At 43.4% G+C, this 23,262-nt stretch overlaps 1 protein-coding gene across 56 annotated transcripts in view; it reads right to left on the reverse strand.

The window, feature by feature from the left end:
- KCNMA1 (potassium calcium-activated channel subfamily M alpha 1) overlaps positions 1–23,262 on the reverse strand; it is a 768,207-nt gene that overhangs the window by 367,095 nt on the left and 377,850 nt on the right. For 55 of the 56 annotated variants that reach the window (NM_001271518.2, XM_017016222.3, XM_024447990.2 and 52 more), the window contains one exon: positions 14,499–14,560. In NM_001271518.2, coding sequence (NP_001258447.1) covers positions 14,499–14,560 — 62 coding nt within the window. Of the gene's footprint in view, positions 1–12,733; positions 12,984–13,088; positions 14,561–23,262 lie in introns of those variants that run through there. The other variant, XR_007061964.1, reaches the window with a different exon arrangement.

The raw sequence follows: 23,262 nt of genomic DNA on the forward strand, positions 1-23,262 counted from the left end.
ATTTATACAGTACATAGATCTATATATGTAATGGAAACAAAAGTTTCATAAAATCAAATTGAACTTCTCTAGCTATATTTCCATCTTGGGCTGATCAATCTCATGTTTTATTTATTTATGTATGTACTTTTAGAGACAAGGTCCCACTCTGTTTCCCAGGCTGATCTCAAACTCTTGGCCTCAAGCCATACTCTTGACTCAGCCTCCTGAGTAGCTGGGATTATAGGTAAAAGCCACCATGCCCAGCTGTGTCATCTTTTTTAAATGCTTGTTTTTCCTTTCACAAACCATGAATGAGTTGAGATTGCAGTTTTCAGAAGCACAGGTCTCGTCCATTATTCTGATAACCGATCTCTTTACTGCCTTACAATACATCTTATTTTGTTTCTTAACTTCACTGTGTTTATATCTCATCTCTCTCAAGACCTGATTAAAAGTTTCAAAACAGACCTCAAAAAGAACAATACCAATAATATCTAATACTTTTTTTGGTCATGTTCAAGCTGGGCACTGTACTAAGAGCCTTTCCATGCAGTGTCTAATTGTTTCCACACACTACTATCAGGTAGGTATTATCCACTATGACATCTCTCATCACCACTTTCACCCCATGTGACAAAGGAAAGACTTCATAGCTTGGAAAGGTTAACTGGCTTGCCCAGGACAGCTACAAAGTAGTAGAGCCAAGTAAGCCAAGAAGGTCTGGTCTGATTCCAAACCCTGGTGTTCACCACTAGGCTCCTTCCTCCCCACTTTCTTTTTGCAAAATTGTTTTTTTAAAGACAGGGTCTCACTCTGTCCCTCAGGCTGGAACACAGTGGTGCAACCAGGGCTCACTTCTGCCTCAAACTCCTGTGCTGAAGCCATGCTCCCACCTCAGGCTCTTGAGTAGCTGAGACTATAGGCACATACCACCATGACCAGCTAATCTTTAAAACATTTTCCAGGGCCTCACTACATTGCCCAGGCTGGTCTTGAACTCCTGGGCTCAAGTGATCCTCTTACCTCATGTGAGCCACCCTGCCCAGCTACATTCCCACCCATTTTCATTCCCCGCCAGAGCTGCCCAGCAGACCTTTTTGCCCCAGAGTGGAAAGGGCACAGATGACAAATATGAATATACAATTCTGGCCCAGTGGGCTCAAAGAGGAGGGAGTTGGCAATGTTTCCTCTTCAGCCAGCATTCTTTTCAAGCAAAGCTCTGTGACCTTCTACCCGAAGGCAGCGCTCTCAGGCCTGTCTGTTGCGGTTCCCCTCACTCATCTCAGGAGAGTCTCCTTCCAGAATGCCAGGCACCCCTGCCTGCCTCCCCACTGCCTCGCCTTCCCTGCACCAATTAAACTGTCACAGTCGGCTGGCTTGGAGGCAGGTGAGGTCAGGAAGAAATCTGAAGGAAGCTGGGAATTCAGATGAGATGAGGCCTCCTTGTGCTGAAGCTCCTCTTCTGTTTTCTGTCAAACTGGTCTGAAGACTGATTGGATGAGCCCATAGAGATCCCTGGCGACTCTCTACACTCACCTCTTCCTCTCCAATGGAGGGTGAGAAATACGGCCTTGTACAGAAGTGGCAGCTTTTGCATCTGTTTGGGTACCCAGTGGTCCCTAGTTCCTGGTGCAACAGCAGTGGGTCTCGGGTGGAATGATTTTGGCTGGAGATTGTTTGCATCCTGGAATCATTGCCTAAAGAGGAATTTGTCCTCTACAAACAAGTGCTAACCCACAATACACAAGAGAAGCAAATCAAAGAGCTCTTAGGCTTGGCCTAATAGATGCATCTTGTCTTACCTACCCCTTTTAGTGTTGTCTGTTATTGGAGGAAGAGGTAGGAAGCCCAGGGCCTCCCTCCCAGAGTTTCCTTAGCATCACCTGTCATTGTTGAGATTTTGAATGCATTGCAGGTTAAGGGACACTTGATCAAGAAGGGAAAACACAGCAGAGACTTTCACTTAGACATGTTTTGTATGTCATGCAGGGAAAAGTTCCCAGTCAACCTCTGCTTAACCTTCGGGTTTGAAGATGGCCCTCTGGCAGTCACCTGATCTTCATGGCAGAAGAAACAGGAGTGAATGAGCAGATGAATCCATCTTAAGAGAATAGAAATCCTTAGTTTGGGTTTCATTGACCAACTATAGGGTACCTGGCAGGCAAAATTTTTGCAGCTTTCATCCAATTCCCAAATGGGTGTTTGACCCACAAAAGAACCACCACCAGTCTACATGGTAATATACATACATTGCCTTCTATAATTTTACTTGCTGTAGCTGCCAAATCTTATTCATACTTCCTCCAAGCATAAGCACATGCATGCACACAGACACAGCCGCCAAATGCACCCTCCTTGTCTACTCCTCAGCCTCACCTCGTACCTGATAACAGATTGTACTCAAAGGCACTGGAAGACCACATGGCTGCCTGGAGCACCTTTCAATTATTAATGCTGTTCTTTAAAGGCCTTGCCTTATTATTTCTACTCATGCTATTATGAAGAGGGCAAACTCCTTAATGCACTCCTGTGCCACTTCCTCCCACTGCTAGAGGAAAAGCACATGCTAGGTACAGTCATCTAATAGCATCCACGTTATTTTCACCTTCTCTGCACACTGTCCCTGCAGTTCTCTCTGGGGCCTCAAGATCAATTGTATCTCAAACTGGGCCATGGGTTCATTTTCTGCATTTTCTGGCATGGAGTGAGGGTAGCGGGTGTATGGAAATTCCAGCTCTCAAATTACAAGGTGGCAGGTCTCTGCATGGGTGTGATGAGCAACATGAGATAGGTATCCTTGTTAAGGACAACTGCATTCTAGTAGATTCCACCATCAGAGGTCCTGGAGCCCTACCTACTATTTCTTCCTGAGAGTGTCCTGATAGGTAAAAGGTGGTGTGAGTGTCTTCCACGGGGAAAAGAGACTGATGAGGCAGCTCTACTGAAATGGCAGTTGATATTAATAGGGCCATCTACTTCCTACTTTGAAAATATCTGAGCTATAAGCTCAGACGCTACCTATCACTAACTGCCAAATTTCCATGAAAAAGGGTCAGTGATGAAGTTGTAGCCTAGACTTGGGACCATGTCTCAGGGGAAAAGTCTAAGTATGCCTCCGATTTTGTTTTGGAAGGGACGACACCGTAAGAATTTCATCAGTAAATATTAAATACAAAGTTCAGCAAATTGTGAACTTTAGGGTTCATGAAAACTAAAGCCAGGATTTATCCATGTCAACCTGTACCTTATACCTACATATGCTAGAAACTAAATCAAGTTTCATACAATGTGCCCATTTAGCTAAGTAAGTCAGAGGATAGTTTCCAATAATTACTAACACTTACACACTTAGTATAATCAACTCTTCTTTGGTCAAGTTAATATCCTGGCAGAACAGACAGATTTGGGCCTCTCTTCTTATAAAAAAAGAATCTGACAATTTAAGGGGCATATGTTCACTTCCATTTATGTCCTGGAAAATATGCCCTGTGACTTAGCAACCATGTTTTAAAAGCTCTTGCAGTTCTTAAACAAACAGAGTGTATGTTTATGAGCTTCTAACAACGTTATTTTCAGAGATGATGTAGAGTTAGTGATATGTAGCTCTGGGGCTTACAGTAAGCTGTAGATGATTTATTGGTGTGGCATACAGTATTTGCCTCGAGAAAAATGGAAATTTAAGCAGTGTTTGAAAATGTGTTAGATGGCAAACGACCCGGGGCACCCTGAGACCAAAGGCTTCCCATCTTAGAGAGAGAAGGGGTCCTTTTTGGCAGATGGAGGAGCAAGGGTTAAGAACGTTTCCTGGCACTCAGGGAGCACAGCCAATTCAAGACCAGAAAGAGAGACAGTTTAGAATAGAGGCTGAAAACAGGAGGCCCAAATCTGGCCTGCAGAGGTGTTTTGCTTGGCCTGCAAGTACTTTAAGAGTTTTGGATTTGAGGCCAATATTTTAAAATTGGAGATTCAACATAAAATGCAGTATTCTGTCTCCTCTTTGAAACACAGGAAGATCTGGCCACTAGAGCCTGCATTTCTGCATAGGAACAATCAGCTGGACCTGGGAAGCCACTTCAGGTGAGGCTTCAGCTCTCATTGCAGTCCTCACCAGATCCGCCTCACTCATTTCCAATGTCTGCCCTTCCCTGTCCAGATGAATTTGCAAACATCAGATGAAAAAAATGTTATTTTGTACTGTTGCACTCTCAGCGAACAGATCTCTTAAACCAGTAAGACTCATTGTCAGATAAAAGAATGGAAAAGGCACATGTTTTTCCAAAACTCGGGAGAAAAGCAAGACTATTAAGTTGTCTTAAAATTTTTGTTGTATCCATTGTTTTGAATGCTGGGTTGCTGAAGTTCCTATTTCCCAAAGCCAAGTTATCAGACAGGGCTTAAAATAAAATGCTTATTTTAATTTTCTCATTTGAAACAATTAGACCACATTGAAGGGGTTTAGTATAAGGCATCTGTCTCTGAGCATGTTTTCTTATCTGTGAAAATTTCCAGAAGGATGGGGCTGTTGGAAAGGGAGAAATAAAGTCAATTTCTCCAGCAGGCAGTGCAGGCACAGTGCCTGAGGCCACTGTACTTATGGGACACAAAAAAGTCTAAATTTTAACTTCTTTAAAATCAGAAGAAAATAAATATAATAATAAATGACGAATAATAACAACGAATCCAGGCTGGGCACAGTGGCTCACGCCTGCAATGCCAACACTTTGGGAAGCTGAGGTGGGAGGACTGCTAGAGCACAGGAGCTTAAAACCAGTCTGGGCAACACAGTGAGACCCCCCCATCTCTACAATAATTTTTTTTAATTAGCTGGGCATGATGGTGCCCAGCTGTAGTCCCAGCTACTCGGAAAGCTAAGGCAGGAAGATTACTTGAGCCCTGGAGGCAGAGGTTGTTGTGAGCCATGATTGCACCACTGCACTCCAGTCTGGGAAACAGAGTGAGACCCTGTCTCAAAGAAAAAAAAAAAATTTGCCAGCCATGGTGGTGCATTCCTGTAATCCCAACTACTCAGGAGACTGAGACTGAAGGATCACTTGAGCCAAAGAGGTCAAGGTTACAGTGAGCTATGATCATGTCAGTACACTTCAGCCTGGGTGACAGAGTGAGACCGTGTCTCTAAAAATAATAGTAATAATAACAACAATAATAAATCCAGCCTGGATTATATTCATTCTTATACCAATGCAGCCGCAAAATATAATATTTAATATTCTTATGGAAGAATTGGCTCAACAAAGCCAACGTACCTAGAGTCCATGGAAATCACAGCACGGAGCTGGAGGCAAATGCTGGTCTTCAGGCCAACAACCATGCCCACACTGTGGCCTGTTTGCGAGCAGCACAAGCTCATTTTACTGCAGACTCTCCTCCCCATCATGCCCCTGTGATGCTCTGTATGTGGCAAGTTCGTAACAAGACCCCTGCAAAGCACGTCGCACACTGACCTCAGTTTCAAAAAGATGGAGTGGATGCCATTCAGATGCTTCTGGAAATTTCCAAATAAAAATTTCCAAAAGTTTTAATCATCTATCATTGGACAACAGGTATTACTGCCACTGGATAGAGTCCGCTTCTCTGATTATTTTATGCCGTCCCTGAAGCATTCTCAATCCCTAATCTCAGTAGCTGATTTCAAGGCAAGGTTTTGCTTGACTTTAGCGTATACTGAAAATCACAAAGCCCGAGTACAGGCCATAATGAGAGTCTTCTCTTGTGGACTCCTAGAGTTGAGGGCAGACTGAGTTTTCTGTCTATTCAACTCAAAATCTCCCCTACAGCCAAAACATGTTATAGCATCCAGCTATCTTTTCAACTCCTCAACCTTCAGCACTTACTGTGTGCAATGCTCATATTAGTCATTGATATATTGCTTAGCGATGCCTTACTTGTTCTTGTTTTGTTATCTTATTTTTCCTTTATATATGGCTGGACTTCCTGCCCCTTGTAAAAATATGTATAATTTAAATGTCTTAATGGAAAAGATCTAGCATTATACATAAGTACTCAAAATTCCCCAGTACCTAGCAAAATGCCTTATACACAGTTTGTACTCAGTGGAGAGCTATTATCTGATTGGTACCTTTAAGGCCACAGGTACACAGACAGCTCTCAGCCTCATCTCTGCTACTGTGATGAGCCTGGTGGCCAATTCCCCCATGCTCTTCTTCTCCACTTAATTTTTAGGCAGGACATAATTGTTTCCTACACACACACACACACACACACACACACACACACACACACAGAGTCTTTCTCTCCCTCTCTCTCTTTTCTCCCAAATTCTATGAACAAAGACATATGCATCAAAAAGTCCCAAGGGCATTGTTGCTTTGAGAGTTCTATTTTTAAGCCACAAATGACTCATCACCAACCAGGGTCTCCCCAAAGCTACATGTGTCAGGCTGTCAGGTCAAAAGACAAGGGGTAAAAGACAAGGAAGAGTTCACATCTCCTCCAGCCCATGAACCCCATGATAAAGCTGTAAAAGCTGCCACCACTCCACACACCACACCACACCCCTACCACAGTTGTGTTAGGCACAAGCACTGCCCTTGTGTTTGGATTAAACTGTTCTGAGCTATAACATTTCGCTCCAGCTGGCTCCTATCCTGATCTCTCAGCAGTCTCTGAATGCATGTCAGCCTGTGACTATAGGGAAAGGCCCAGTGCCATGTGACAGGGAGGAGATGCAGCCCTCTTGCGGTATAAACTCAGGCTTGTTGTAGAGGACAGAAGTAACTAGTGGGCTAGTGGGTCTGAAAGGGAATGCATTTCTTCATTTGCCCTGAAACAATTATTCTTTTAAAAAGAATAAGAGAGGGCTGAGAGAGTGCCAGGTTGTCCAAAGCATTCTTTTTAAGTTTTGGAGAGTGGCGAGAAGGGAAGAAATAATTCATCCTAATTTTGGAAGGCAAAGTAGATAGGGATGTATAGACATAGTTATCAGATAGTGTTTCCACAGGGGAAACAAGTGAGCAATTGGGCAAAATGTCCTCAAAAGTTATGCATAACAAATTCCAAACAGGCCAAAACAATGTGTTCAGCTCTTCAATGCGTTCAGCCCTGTGTTACCCTTCCACAGTGGAGCTGAACTCTTAACTCTTACCCATCCCCAACTCCATGCTGAAACAGTACAAAAAAGAGAGGGAGACAGTGGGGAGGGAGAGAGAGAGATTAGTAGGAGGGTCATAAAATCAAGGAATTCAAGGCCTCTCACCAGTGAGGATGAAATAAACTAATCCCACGCAGCCACCTGGCTGGATTTGATCTTTTCCACCTGGGATTATCTTTGTTCTTTCCCATGGCCCTAAAGTTTCCCCCATGATAAGGGCCTAGAAGTCCAGAATTGGCATAAAAAGACAATATATACTTTGCTATTCAATGAGTAGGTTATCATGTCTTTGTTCATTTCTGTATTTAGTAGAAAGAACCCAGGAGATCAAGTAGAAAAGGACTGGGAGAGAAAAGTTCTATCTTCCAGCTCCAGCTCTGCCCCTGGCTGGTCGGATGACCTTGAGGAGGTCCCTCATCCTCATTCCTCAGGAAAGGATGCTGAGGCTCAGAGAACAGTGGCACCAGTTGGGATCCAATGCCTCTTTGACTCTAATACTATATTCTACAGTTGTCTTTTGTGGCAGACCTGAAAGGTTCAGCTCAGTCCTCCTGTCCTTTCCTAGCATAGTCCCTGATTTCCCCAATGAAAGCCAAAGATAAGCAGTTCCCTTAATGCTTCTAGATGCCATTGCCTACGATGCCTAGGTACCACTTGTGCAATGACAAATAAGCAAGGAAGACAAGATTTCCTCACCAATGTGGAAGGGAGAAGGAGGAAGGGTGCTAATGCTCTGAACTTTGACGTAAATGAAACCAATCTGTTTGACAACCAAAGAACAGATCCTGTCCCCAAAATCTACCTATATGGAGACAAGGACATATAAAGAAGTTGACTCTGTTCCTTGGCATACTCTCCACCTGTCTTCTCTACCAGGCTTTCACTCGATTCCTGAACAAATGGCAATATGGAAGGTCAGATGAGCTAGGAAGGCTGAGTTAGAGTTACTCTCATATCAGAGCACCAAGTGTTGCTATTAAAGGGTACATTCTGAAGGGAGACAAGACTTCCCATTGGAGTTATTTACAGCCTCTTTGCCCTGAAGGCATCTTCTCTTCCACCATCCCTGAGTGGGCTCGGCTCCTCTACCATCTGACATTCCATTCTTTCAACAGCTGCTGGCTCTCCTGTTGTGTTCCCTTCACAGATGTGCAGTGCCGTTCTGAACATCCTGCCCTTGAACTTTCCCTACCCATAATTTTCCAAACCAAAGCCTGGCAATAAAAATGTCAGTGAGGGATGGAGAAAACTGGGGGGAGTATTTTAAAAGGAAAAAAAAAAACAGGGAGGTGCTTTGCACACAGTGATTTGTGTTGACTTCTTCAACAAAGGTTAAATGCATGCCGTGACTTCTCAAAAAAGGGCATGAAGGCAGACAGCTGGAGCTAATTTTCCAGAACACTACCTAGAAAGGCTGTATTTCATAAAGGAACTGGTTACAGAGTAGGCTGGTGAGCTTCCTTTTCCATGTCACAGGCTGCCCATCTCATCATGCTGCAGGATGGGGTACACTAAAGGGGATAGTGAAAGCTGGTATACACAGTCCTTTACAGTTTAAAATGCGCTGTCATGAATGGGATGGGATCTGTGCTGTCCTCACAGCTCTCCCAGGTGCCTGTCTTGGGGCTGAGCACAGGAGAGGCAGTGGGTCTACACCTGTGCCTAGTCAGTTTGAACAAGGCTGGAGAAGGAAGCCAGATACTTTATGACATTTCAAAGACCTCCATCCTATGTGGCTCCATTCTTTGGGGCCAAATTTTCCTGAAGTCCATTAGTTTGATAATACCAACTCTCTGGGCATATAAACATTGCATAACATAATGCAAAACTATAACAAATCAACTAATTCTGTAACTCTCTAAAAGAGATAAAAGAATGTATCTCATGGGGAAACAGCATTTCTCATATCTATTTCAGTATGCCAAATCACAAGGACAGATTAGGTAAGGATAGGAAGGCCAAAGAGTCTTTCTACTTGGAAAGACACCCCTAGGTGGTGGAAGCTAATGAGGAACAATCAGCTCTCCTTGTTTTTTGTTCATTTGATCCTATCTCATTGCAAAATGCTGCCACTCCACTGAGATAACAGAGAAGCTGGTCTCATCAAGCCATTATTAGGAAGAACTGAATCAAGGCCCAAACAGACATCAGACAGCACCTGACCCAGGGCAGTGTCTTACATGGAAGGCCTGTGATAGGAGCCTCCTACGTACCCACAACTGCACACTTGGTTCTCAGGGTGAGAAATGGAGAAAGGGAGAACAAAAGAGAAAACAAGACCAGTGCATTGGCAGGATGAGGTGATGCAACTTCCCATTCTTGCAACATCTCATTAAACCCCATCAGTTACTTACACAATCTGGAAATTTACTTCTTGACACTTAGAAGAGAGATGGCTTTAGAATGAGCCATGCTGGAATCTAATCCTGGCTCTACTGCTTACTAGCTACATAGCTTGGGCTATGCCTGCAGCTTCAGCCTCCTCATCTGTAAGTGGGAATAGTAATACCTATCCTAAGAAGTTGTTAGGGGAATTCAATGAGGTTGCATGTGCTATTTTTGGTAAAGTGCCTAGCTCTGTAGCTCACAGACAGTACATAATCAGTGAATGTTAGTTCCCTCCAACGACTTGCCCTCTCTTCCCTTTTGAAACAGAATTTCTAGGCCAAGGGATGAGAGACCAGGCTATGTGAAGACAGGGGAGGGAGAAACTACTGGGCAACTAAACCAGTTCTGCTAAAGCTCTGGACATCCCCAATACATCAATGGTGCCAGTTTTATTTTCAGAGACTATGAAAACAATCTGGTCAATTTCTATCGCAATCTTAAAGATAGTTTTCCTTAACCATAAGCAATTTTACTGCCTGGAAAATATTCAGCATTATCACATTTGAAGATGTTACAAACTAATAAATGAATACAAAATGAATAAATGGGTGAGTGGATGCAAAAGTAACATTTTAAAAGACTGGGGAGAGGCCATTTTCCAATCGTAACCCCACTGTTGCCTTGGCAATTGTGCCCTTGGATGAGATGCTCTACAAAATTTGTGCTGCCATTTCCTGCTCCTTCCTAACGTCCATATCCCCAAAACAGCAGTGCTGATACCAGAAGCCAAGAGCAAAGACTGGCAAAATCAGCAAGTGCCCCCATTGTGTGCCAGCCATTTTGGAGCAGATAAAGTCATTAAGGAAACATTTAACAACGTATAACCTTTCAGCTTTACTCTGCAAACAGCAGGTAGCTTCCCTTTCAGAGACAAGAGCCTGCATTGAAGTCACCAGTGAGCAGGACTTGACCTTCATTTTCAGTATACGCCACATTAAATATTCATAATCCGCGTAACCGTAGCATAAGAAGTAGCAGCGTTTAAACATGAATCAAAGGAATAAATATCTTCACACATGTGAGTCATCCTTTCCCAGAATGCCCCTGGTGAAAATGCAAATACCCAGAGCTCTGGGCCTCTGTCTCTTCCAACTTTCTCTTGAAATTCTGAAAGCTACAGGGACTGCTGCATTATGCAATCCATGAATCTCGCTCTCATGCTGACACTGGTGGGTCTTTGTTTTTTTTCCTTATCTGTTAGATAAGAATTGCTGTTCTTGTGTCAAAGGGAGGAAATAGACAAGGATGGAAGCAGCAATGGTGACATTAGCACCCACAGGGCGTCTGCAGGCACTCTTGACTTGGTTGTACAATTTCTAAAAAATCTTTGCTTCACAAGGATCAGAATATGTGGGAGGACAGGGTTGGCGTTGGTGTCGGGAGACATCAGAATTAGGAACTAAAGTGACGTGTGACATAAATTGGGCAGGAGTCCTTTTAAAAAGAATGCAAAAGAAAGGGAGCTTTTTGTACACAATCCACCTCGTGTGGCTAATTGGAGATCTTTGGGGAGATGGTGTGTGGAGGGCTCAATGCTTGTCTGTGCTTGTTAAGGCACTAACATGATGTCTGACCAAAGACTCAGTCCAGAGGCATCTTCCTCTGCTTGGGTGTTTCTAGAGAGTCTACTGCTGGGATGATAAAGCATAATTTTAGTAAGGTTTAACGTAATTATCTTTGGTTTTCAATTCCAGGAGCTCTGAGGACAATCTGTCTTAGCCAGATAGTAATCACTTGCAGCTACACAAATGAGTCTTCCCTCACAACCACCCTAGGTTCATTAAGATCAGACCCAAAGAAAACGCCCTATGCTGGGATCTGTCTTTGCCTAATGGCCAAAAATGAAAGGTGTGCAGCTGTCTTTGGAAGTGACTTATCCATCACCTCTGGATAGTAAAAAGAGCTTTAAAAGGTTAAAAAGATCATAAACCACCAATGATGACCTTTCTCTGAGCTGTATTGCTAATGGACAGAAGTAAAATAACTACCTAGCCTGCTTGTCCACTTGCACAACTGGAGCTGGCCTGCCTCGAGACATAGCTGGTCCAGCAGACCTAGGGAGCCTGTTTTATACATTAATCGGCATTCCTTGCACTTTTCAAAGGGCTGGGTGCAGAGAGCCTGGAATCTCAAACTTGTGCTACAGGATAGTCCTCAGCATTCTGGAGGGGAGGGGCAGCTCTGGCTAAAATTCACTGAGACAAGCCATTTCACGCATGTCTGTTGGTTTAGATTCACTTGTGGGAAAGCCTATAGACTGTCCCCTGATTCATTTATTTGAAGGGTGTAAATACTAGCTACAATTCATCTGGAGAATTCTGGGTGCTTTTTTTCCAGGGTGATGATTTAGTATAACTTCCACGAGAAGTTTAAAGCTGTCTTTCCAAAATACCCAGATGGCCAGCCAAACCATGAATGTGTAAAACTGGTAACAGTTTTGAATGAAAGACATGGATTTTAAGAATGTACATTCTACTTTCTCACTTTCTTTCCATTTGCATCTTATATGTGGATAGAACTTCATTTTTTTTTCTCATTCACTAAGCTCGATTATAATTTTTTAATAGGTTTCACTGTGTTTTATTCCTGGAAATCTATGGACTTACCATAGAGATGGCTTTAGAGATTCTACACTAATTCTCTCCCAAACTAAAACTGAGCTTGCTTGCCGTCTTTCCCAAGGAAGATGGAAAACTCCCTTGTGCTGAATCCACTGATTGGGCCTGCCACCGGACAGAATCTTCGGATATGCTCTCAGAACAAAATGAAGTCATGAAAATGAAAAGTTTCTATATAAATAACCAGAAGGTCTTCTTATAAACAAAGCCTTGCTATGCCAAATCACACAGTTTAGCAACAGAGAAGAAAGGCTAAAGCTGGGATGAGGCTACGACAGTCCTCAGGCAGAATGGGAATAGCCTTGTTTCTAACCTTATGGGCATTTTTGCCAGGAAAAGGTGAGGACAGGACTGAAGTTCCATCCTTGGGATAGACTATTTGCAAGTTCATAAAAGAAACCAGAATCAGAGAGGACTCCCAGTGCCATCTTCGCCAAGGCCTAGAAGGATCACAATTAAAGCCAAAGGACATTGAGATGGTGTAGGACATTAGGGGAAGAGGGTGCATTGGGGAATTTCATTCCTTTTCATCTTCTCACACGGAAACAGAGAACACCAGGATCTACAGAACAAAAGACTGCCTCATAGTAGACTGTAAAAAAAGACACAATCCAAATCCATCTAAAGAGCATTTTATTTCTGAGAAATACAGAGGGACAAAAGGTTAAAAAAATAAAAAAAATAAAAAAACGAAAAGGGAAGGAAGGTGCTGGCTGAGGCATCTGGACTTCTAACCCATCAACACACTCACCTCCACATTAGGGTTTTCTTTCTCTGGGACATACAAGCTTCAAGCCCAAACCTCTTTCCTGAGTCTCAGCATGGAAGTTGGCAGGGTCTGCACCCCACGACATGTAAGAACACCCCTGGAGAGAGATTGGAGAAATAAGACCAGGGGCTTTAGAGGATCTTCAGTTCAATACAAATAGGATCCAGAATCATTAACAGTAAATATTTAAAAGGGGGCTTACCTTCAATGACATGCCAATGGGAGTCTTCCAAACTTAAACAAGCTCTTCTCTTTCTTGGCTCGGGAGAGCTGATGGAGGGAGCATGTGGAATCTTGTCTCCTGACAGCGTTTAAAGGACTCTCCATCTGAGATGGGTGAGGGCAGCCCAGCCTCGCATGTGGGGTGGGCTGAAGGACCTCTGATAGGCTTAAACTTGGCTGATTCCCAGAGACAGGTTATTAAAGGAGATATTTGCTTTGTTTTCCCTGACTGACATTTTGGCCTCTCCACCCAAATGCACAAAATCCTTGGCCGGTGACCAGATGGCTCTGAGAAATTCTGAGTTTAGCTGTGCATGAAATTACCACCATCCCAAGCCACAGGAAAGGAGCACTAAGCTCAGAATTCAGGCACACCAGAGTCTGAGCCAACAGGCACACCAAGCAGGTTTCCTAGTATCAAAGTCTAGTAGCCAACCATGCCAGGGATAGAGTTTAAAGTTCAAAACACTCACACAGTGGACAATAAAGGCAACAAGCTCAAGGCCATTGTCACCAGAGTTGCCAAGTTCACGCCACAACAGAAAATGAGTTAGACTCCAGCTTGTTTCCCAGATGCCATCAACTTCATGATTTGCAATAGTATAGTTGGAACAAATTATTTCCTCAGGGTTGGCACCTGCAGGAATCAGGGCAGAACTGGCTGCAACATTGCAGTTCTAGTCTGTGCCCTCTTCATCCTTCTGCAAGGTCTTTATCATCTGTCACCCAGGCTCACTCTGGAGCACCAGTCCATTCGGCTGGCACCCAAGGAGTCTGCATGAGTGTCCACTCTAGAAGTCCTCAAATGGCCAGGGCCTCCACCTCTGGGGGTCATGATGAACTCCTCCATCCATCTCCTTACCTTCACAAGTCAAGAAGCACCAGCGTGCAATGCTTCAGCTGAATACCCGATTGGCAGGTGAAAGGATAGCATCATGCTTTCTAATCTGACCTCCAGTAAGATCAAAGCATTGGAAACCCAATTGAGAAAAGGATCCTACAACCATAGCAAGAATGGCTCAGACCCTCATCTGTGGGAAACTGTCACCCTCCCAGAAGTTGCAAATTCCCATCAAGTCATCTTAACTACTTGACATCTTCAGTGCAAATACATCATTAGGAAACAGCTCTTTAAAAATAAGTAATACCCAGCAAGAAGACTTGACCTCATATACCTCACCCTCCTATGCCAGCAGACTCAAAATAGCCTTCCTTCTGAGAACTTTCTTTCCCATTTAGAAAATCAGTACAGTACAGCACTAGCTTCCTCCAAAATCTTCTGCACTCAGAAGGTCTTGCAAAGGTTGGTGTCAAGGTAAATAAATGGATCAATGTAAAGGCTCATGATTGTTTATGAAACGAGGGCAAGAAAGTATATTTGAATACTCACTTTGATGAATCTATGAAGTATATTACAAGTGCACCGATGCTGAGAGCAAAGACTAAGACAACCTGTAAAAGAAGAGGAGAATGCCATCACTTAAGAGTTGGACCTCAGGATGTTTGGGTTTTTTGACACATACCGAAGCAGCTTTGAAATACGGTGCCCATTGCCCTTGGGGACCTGCTTGGAAATCTCACCCTCATCCCCAGCCCCCCATTACTGCTTCAGGTTTGGCTCTTCATACAGCAATGGGCAGCAACCTCGCTCCTTGCCAATAGGGGTCAGGGTAGCCTTTTATGTCTCAGGGCACTGGGTTTTTATCTGACCCTGTTATCTCGAAGTCCAGCTTCTCTGCAATTGTAGTTGATAAACTTCAGTGGGAAAAAAGCAGGTGAAAATTTAGGGTGATACAATTTTTAATATTATATGTAGTCTAGGATCTGCAGGAACTCCAATAGAGGAATATCAACTTTAACAGCTTCATTGAGGCATAATTTACATACCACAATATTCACCCATTTAAAAAGTACAATTCATCAATGACTTTAGTAAATCTACTAAGTTATGCAATCATCACTGTAATCCAGTTTCAGAACATTTTCATCATCCCAGTAAGATCCCTCATGCCTGTTAAATCAATCCCCTTTCCCATTTCCAAGCCCCAGACCACACTAATCTACTTTCTGTCACTACATAAGAGATACCAATTTGAAGATCACAAATTTGCTCGTACAAATGTCCGTGTGTGTATGTGTGGACATACATAAAGATATATTCACTGCATGTATGATCTATATGATTAGAACACTTCTGAAATATTTAGGAAAGTAGTTCCAGTTCAGGAAGTCAATTAGGCAATCCATTAGGCCAGTTATGTGACAATCCTTGTCCTACTTTACACTCTTCACTCAAAATTAATCTCCATGGATGGAAGACAGTTTTGGCATCTCCTTCAGTGGATACCTGTCATGCTAAGGTCCATAGAATGAATATGTAGCAGATTAGGCTGACACTGACACTTCTGTCCTCAGTACACATTCTACTTTCTTTAATCTTTCACAGAGGAGACTATTAATGCAAATAAAGGATAGTCAGAAATAAAGAAGATGCTTTCAGCCAACAATTAAGCCTGAGAATAAAAAGTAAGCACCACCATTACACACAATGCCTGGCTGCTAGGTCAACCTTTCCAGGTATGCTAATACCCTGAAGAGACTGCAGGCTGAAGGGCATTGGAAGTCAGTCTCCTCAGTGTCCATCTATTGACATCTCTCAGGCCTTGGCTGGTGGGTAGAGAGGAATCCCAATTTATGTAAAGACTAAGCATGATCAAGCTTTGTGTGTGTGTGTGTGTGTGTGTGTGTGTGTGCGGGCACGTGTGCCTGTGTATGTATGAGAGACAGAATCTCTCTCTTTTACACCCACCCACACACACACACACTCCTGTATTTTTTATGTGTGCCAAAGTGGCTGACAGAAAATGAAATCTGCATGAGATACTCATTTAAAGCATTGCAAAACTGCATGGAGCTCCTGGGGCAGAATGGTGGCTTGCACAGCCCAGAAAATGACCATTAAAAACAATTGGACACTGTAAAAGGAATATGCAGTTTCATAGCAACTGATAAAATCTCCATATAAAGGGAGGTGCTAAAACAATACACCACTGAGGTTTATTTCATTCTGCCATTTAAAAAAAAAAACAACTAAAACATGCTCCAATTGAATGCTGCAGTCTATCAGTAATTATCACCCGCCCAGCACTAATCCCTCTTAGCTGCCTCACCTCAACCCCTCCCATCACACATATTCATTCATATGTTCCTTTCAAAGGTACACACAAAAACAAGCAAACAAAAACATGAGCAGGCCTTCGCTTTTTCCTCTATTATCTAAAGGAGGCAGCAAAACAAAAAGCTTAAGATTAATTTTGATCTGTGCTGCTATTTCTGAGGCATAAGCAGTTAGATCCTGGCCCTGACCTCATTCTCAAAAAGCTGCAAAGAGAAGGGGTGTGGCCAGAACCCAGGAGAAGGGCCTCTTCTCCATTCATAAACAGCTGATTTAAGACTAATCCCTGTCCATTTGGCTCCCTGTGTGTGTATCTGTGAATGCTGAGCATCTGTCAGAGCTGGCTATATAGGCCTATGCCACCCAAAGCCACTGTTGCAGAAAAGGACTGGAAAGAAGCCCTTGCAAATGGCATCTACATCATTCTGTAAGGAACTCAAAATCTAAGACCCCTGCAATGGCAATGATTTCGCAGCATCCAGATGGCCAATGTAGCTGATCCTAATTTGCTCCAGCTGCCTCCACTTGGAGTCAGTGATGGGGACTAATGCATTCCTTATTTAAGCAAATCAGCCAGTGACAGGAGGAGGCCAGGAATCCTGCTACCCTCTGAAGATGAAAACTCAAATATCAGCATCTCTCTGATAGGGTAAGAGAGGGAAGAAATCCAGGAGGGAAATAACCTCCACAGCTCCCTGGCCCTGAAGACTCTGTTGAATGGACATGCATTTGGGTCCACGTATTCAGCTGGAAGGCCTCCTCTCAATGAGATACAGGATAGGCAAACTGCCCCATGATGTACGATGAAATGCTCCCTGGGGAGATGATCTGCCTCTCAGTATTAAGGTAACTGTGCACGTAGTCTTGAAACTTGCTAAATGCCTCTTTATCGTGTCAGGCTTGATCACATTGTCAGCCCAGATCCAGGTGCTGCAGAAAACACATCAATACTTTGGATGTGGCCATGAAAATAGAATCCCCATCAGAGACTTGTCTTCTCTAGGCCCCTAGCAAAGCCACCTTAGAAGTGTCAGTTTAGTCTCTCTCTTTCTCTATCTCTCTAACAAATCCCCATTGTCTGAGAACTCTAAGTTTGAAAACACAAAATGATTACATTTTAGTCTGCATGGTAATGGTATTATTATAGAGCACCCCAAATAGTCACCTAAGTATTTAACATATCCTATACATAAGGCCCAAGAAAAACAGAAGATGGGAGGCCACTTGGAGTCATGAAATATACTCTTTTTTTTTTTTTTTTAGACAGATCCTCGTTCTGTCGCCCAGGCTGGAGTGCAGTGGCGCGATCTCAGTTCACTGCAACCTCTGCCTCCCAGGTTCAAGCAATTATCTTGCCTCAGCCTCCCAAGTAGCTGGGACTACAGGTGCCTGCCACCATACCCGGCTAATTTTTTGTATTTTTAGTAGAGAGGGGGTTTCACCATGTTGGCCAGGCTGGTCTCAAACTCCTGACCTCAAGTGAACCACCTGGCTCAGCCTCCCCAAGTGTTGGGATTACAGGCATGAGCCACTGCACCTGGCAAAATATACTCTTTTTTATAGAGTCATTCTTCTGTAGATTAATCCCATGCTATTATGCAATTAGTGATAAATCATATAGTACAGGTTTAGCCAATATAAAATGAACTATTGCCTAGATGGATCATTAGTAACTGGGTAAAGATAGAAAAAGTAGGGCCCTTATCTCAATATCCTCTCCTTTCCCAAAATGTCCTTCCTTTCTACATAGTACCACTACTCTAATATCTCTTCACGAAGGGCTGAGGCCATTGGGAATCCTTTTGCAAGCTTCTATAGTTTCAGGGACAAGGAGGACAGAAGCCCAAGGGACATGGTAAAATGAGGCCAAGGAAAGCACAGTACCCCAGAAAGCAAAGCATCCCTGCCCTACAGCAGCTGAGTCATAGAATAAGACAATAACCAAGCATGTAACAAAGCATTGTCCCACACAAGGGCTTGGGGGCAGCAGTGTGATACACAGATAATTTGAGCATTGCCTCTTAGGGCACTTCTGCTAGCTTGCTTGAGAGCCTGTCCTGGTTGCTAAACTTGCCATAGTCTGAGCTCAACAAATTACCTCAGCCATCTTGGACAGTATGAATTGTCACCTTCTCAGATTTACTGAAAACACCCATATACTGTGTGGAGATATTGAGTACTCGGTGTGCCAGATTCCTAAAAACAAAAGCAATTTGATAAATGTCATTGGAACAATGGTGTTTGAGTCATCTATTTTCAAAACTCCAAGATCAAACAAGACATGTGTTTGCACAAAAGAATGCCAGGAACACACATACACGGTGTATTTTTTTTTAAGGGCAGGGTGCAGTGGCTCATGCCTGTAATCCCAGCACTTTGGGAGGCCATGACAGGTGGATCACTTGAGGCCAGGAGTTCTAGACCAGCCTGTCCAACACAGTGAAACCCTGGCTCTACCAAAAAATGCAAAAATTAGCAGTTGTGGTGGTGCACACCTGTAGTCCCAGCTACTTGGGAAGTTGAAACAGGAGAATCACTTGAACCCTGGAGGCAGAGGTTGCAGTGAGCCAAGAGTATGCCACTACACTCCAGCCTGGACAACGAAGTGAGACTCTGTCTCCAAAAAAAGCAAAATAAAAAAATATAAAAGTGGGCTGGGCATGGTGGCTCACACCTGTAATCCCAGCACTTTGGGAGGCCGAGGTGGGGGGATCACGAGGTCAGGAGTTCGAGACCAGCCTGGCCAATATGGTGAAACCCTGTCTCTACTAAAAATATAAAAAGTTAGCCAGGCATGGTGGCGCTCACCTGTATTCCCAGCTACTCAGGAGGATGAGGCAGAAGAATCTCTTGAACTTGGGAGGCAGAGGTTGCAGTTAGCCGAGATGGTGCCATTGCACTCCAGCCTGGGCAACAGAGTGAGACTCCATCTCAAAAAAAAAAAAAAAAAAATCTGTCCCTAACACCTGATGCAAAGAAGGAGCCTGGTGCAAAATGGGGAGGAGAGAGGGGAAGTCCATAGCCATCTCGCTAGATGAAAATCCCGGTGGACCATGAAGATCTTTCAAATGTCTGACAAGGTTCATGAAAGTTCATGAAAATGGACAATAGCACAGCCAAGCATAGACTATTCCCCCTCAGGTGATGGAGCACTTCAGGAAAAAGGCAGATTCAGTGATGTGAGTATAGAGGTGATTGAGTTGGGAAAGCTGGCTCTTAGAAATATTTCCTGTTCTAGAACCTGGACTGGAGTTGCTGCAATTAGGCCCATATGCTTTCAGCGGGTGTGTGAGGCTTCACGGCCTTGGGAGGCAGATTCAGAGCCAAGGCTCACAAAGGTGGCTACCACCAGAATCCAGTCACCTGAGGAGCTTTCCTTCCAAAGCAGAGATGCCCTCATCCCACCCTAGGGCCAGCAAATCATGAGCTGGGGGAGGGGAAGTCTGGGCACCTCTTTTTAACAAGCTCCTCCAGTGAATCTGACAATGGGAGTCACTGAATTAAAGCCATTAGGAGAAACCACTTAGCTCAAGTCAGAGATTAATCTACAAATGTCGCCTTAACAATTAGCCCATTAGAACATATGTATGAGGCCTGCAGGCTTAGAGAATCGTGCTAGGAGTACTAGAAAAAGTACAGAGAGGAGGATGAATTAATTCTCTCCTGAGCAGGTTTTACACATTCTTCTCAGCTCACAGCAGAACAAATGACCCTAATTAATGATTCTGCATGTTTGATCAGGGTTTATCTGCCTACTGAAGGCAGAGACCCTTCTCAGAAAATGGACAATTTTCTATATATGATCCCAAAGGCATAGGACTTTTTAAATTGAAGTATATAATTTACATATAATAAAATCCACTATATTAAAAAATACACTTTGGGAGGCCAAGGCAGGAAGATTGCTTGAGCTCAGGAGTTCGAGACCAGCCTGGGCAACATAGAGAGACCATATCTCTACAAAAAAAACTTTAAAAAAATTATCCAGGCATGATAGCATGTGCCTATAATCCCAGCTACTCCAGAGGGTGAGTCAGGAGGATCGCTTGAGCCTGGGAGGTGGAAGCTGCAGTTGAGCTGTGATCAAACCACTACACTCCAACGTGGGTGACAAGGCAAGACCCTGTCTCACACACACAAAAAAGAAAAAAATAGATGTGAGAACTCCCAAGGCAAAACAATCTGGTGACATTTTGTTTTTTGAGAGATAATATCATTCCAACATCTAAATTATAATGTTTTTGTCCTGGTGAATTTATTAATAACAATGCCAACAAACATTTATTGAACACCTATGCACAAGGGCCAGAGTGAGAGACAGAGAAATGCAAAACTGAAACAGTTAAGTCTGGCCTGGCCTTTGCCCTCAGGGAGCATGGGATCTAGAAGTTTAAATTACTCAAGAGTCCCTTCTGAATGTAAGAAGCGCTACACATATCAACAGTCATCTCCAGGATATAAAGGAAGGATCAGATCAGGCAGAGAAGCAACACCACCCTCATTTCAGACTCCCAAAGTGGAACGGGGAGAGAAAGTGAGAAATGGAAAACCAAGGAAAAAGGAAGAAGAATTTTTGACATTCCAAGTCCACCTGGCTGTTCTAGGAAAGGACAGACACCAGTGATATGGTTTGGCTGTGTCCCCACCCAAATCTTATCTTGAACTGTCGCTCTCACAATTCCCACGTGTTGTGGGAGGGACCTGGTGGGAGGTAATTGAATCATGGGGGCGGGTCTTTCCCATGCTGTTCCTGTGATAGTGAATAAGTCTCACAAGATCAGATGGTTTTATAAAGGGGAGTTTCCCTGCACAAGCTCTCTCTCTTCCCTGCCAACATGTAAGATGTGACTTGCTCCTCCTTGCCTTCCGCCATGATTGTTAGGCCTCCCCAGCCACGTGGAACTGTGAGTCCATTAAACCTCTTTTTCTTTATAAATTACACAGTATTGGGTATGTCTTTATCAGCAGTGTGAAAACGGACTAATATAACCAGGCACACAGGATGAGTGATGTGGAGAAGGAAGAGCACAGGACACAGAAGACCTGGGTGTGAATCTCCACTCTGCCCCTATAAGCAACATGCTCTTAAGCACGTCACCTAATCTCTCTGGGTCTAAGTTTCCCAATCTGTGAAATAATGAGATTGAAACAGATGATTATGAGATGGGACCTTGGTAGGAACTAAAAACTTTTGGCTTGAAAAGGTAGCCCTCACTTATGCTAACTGTAAACCATGTATACATAAGTCTGATTCAACATGCTGACAATATGCCTGTCCCTAAATCTGTATGCAGGAGACTTGTTTCATAAGATCACAAGAATAAACTCCATAGACACTCAGATTCATAGTTTGTGTTTCCAGCAGCACAATCAATTGCTCATGCAGAATGTCATCCCACAAAACTAACACAAGACATAGAAGGGCCATGGATCAGCTTTCTCCTGAGTCTGGGTCTCAGCTCTGCCATCACTACAGAAAATTGAGTGGTGGTCTGACCCATCGCCTCCCTCTCCTTGCCTCTGTGAGCTTTGAAAAGCCCATGTTTTTGCAGGCTTTAGCCTTCCAGAAGCTCAGACTGAGTCTCAGTGTTTTCCTAAGGGAAAAAGAAAATGATTTTTTTCTCTTTACTGTTTAGCAAGTATAGTTGATATGTTCTTGTCATTCCTAAGTCATGAATGGTTCTCAATAGAAGAAGATATAGGCCAGGTGCGGTGGCTCATGCCTATAATCCCAACACTTTGGGAGGCTGAGGCGGGTGGATTACTTGAGATCAGGAGCTCAAGACCAGCCTGGCCAATACGGTGAAACCCCATCTCTACTAAAAATACAGAAATTAGCTGGGTGTGGTGGCACACACCTGTAATCCCAGCTACTCAGGAGGCTGAGGCAGGAGAATTGCTTGAACCCAGGAAACGGAGGTTTCAGCAAGCCGAGATAACGCCACTGCACTGCAGCCTGGGCAACAGAGCGAGACTCTGTCTCAAAAAAATATATATATAATATATAATCTTGCCACCAAAAAAGGATTTTTGTTATCATACATTTAAAAATATCTGTAATATTTCTGCAGAGCCATTTAATCATCCATAGGTCCCCTAAATTACCAAGCTAGCACTATGAAACATCACATTTGACTTATGGAAGCACATGCACAAAAATGCTGTAAATTGATTCACTGGAAACCAAGACTCCAAACAACGGATTAAGTAGAGATGTATTCAAGATGAAAGAAAGGAAGAAGAAAGAGGGGCTTTGTAGTTGGTATTTGGGATTATAGCATTAAAATAAAATGCATGGGATTGCCAGATAAGAGTAAAACTGATTTGTTCACATGTAAGGAAACCTAGTAAAAATCTCTATGATTTTACAGGCATTAGGATCTGGTGCTTCCAAAAGTGCAATACTATGAAGCCATACTCTGTGTGCAATGGACTGAATTCTTAGGACACACATGTAAATCGGAGAGAATCCCTCCTTAAATCACCTCAAATGTCCTCCATAACTTTTGGTATGAAGAAAAAAAAAATCCTTGACAGAGTCCACAAGGCCCTGAAAGCTCTGGTCTTTTCCTCCTCTCTGGCTTTATTTCACATGCTTCCACATCTAGACTCCAGGAATCTAACTTGCAGTTATTCTCATTCTCCATTTGCCTCCTCCCACCCCAACCACCACAGAGCCTTCGCACAAGCACTTTCCTCCTCCCAGAAGCCTCACCTGCTCACATGGGATGCCCATCCTTCAGAAATCAGCTCTGCTGTCACTTCCCTGCCCACAGGTATTCTGTTTTGTGTAGCAGTTAGCAAAGCAGCAATTTTACATGTCTTTGTGCAATCATTTTGATCAATTGCTCTCCTCTTTCCTTTGCTGGATGGCAAGTTCTATGAAGGCCGGGTGTGTGTCCATTTTTAGTTATCACGAAATTCCAAGAAAGTAGCAAAGTGTCTCAATCAGTATTTGTTAAATAAATAAATATGTGGA

Source organism: Homo sapiens, chromosome 10 (genome assembly GCF_000001405.40).
Source record: "Homo sapiens chromosome 10, GRCh38.p14 Primary Assembly".
Classification (NCBI taxonomy): domain Eukaryota; kingdom Metazoa; phylum Chordata; class Mammalia; order Primates; family Hominidae; genus Homo; species Homo sapiens.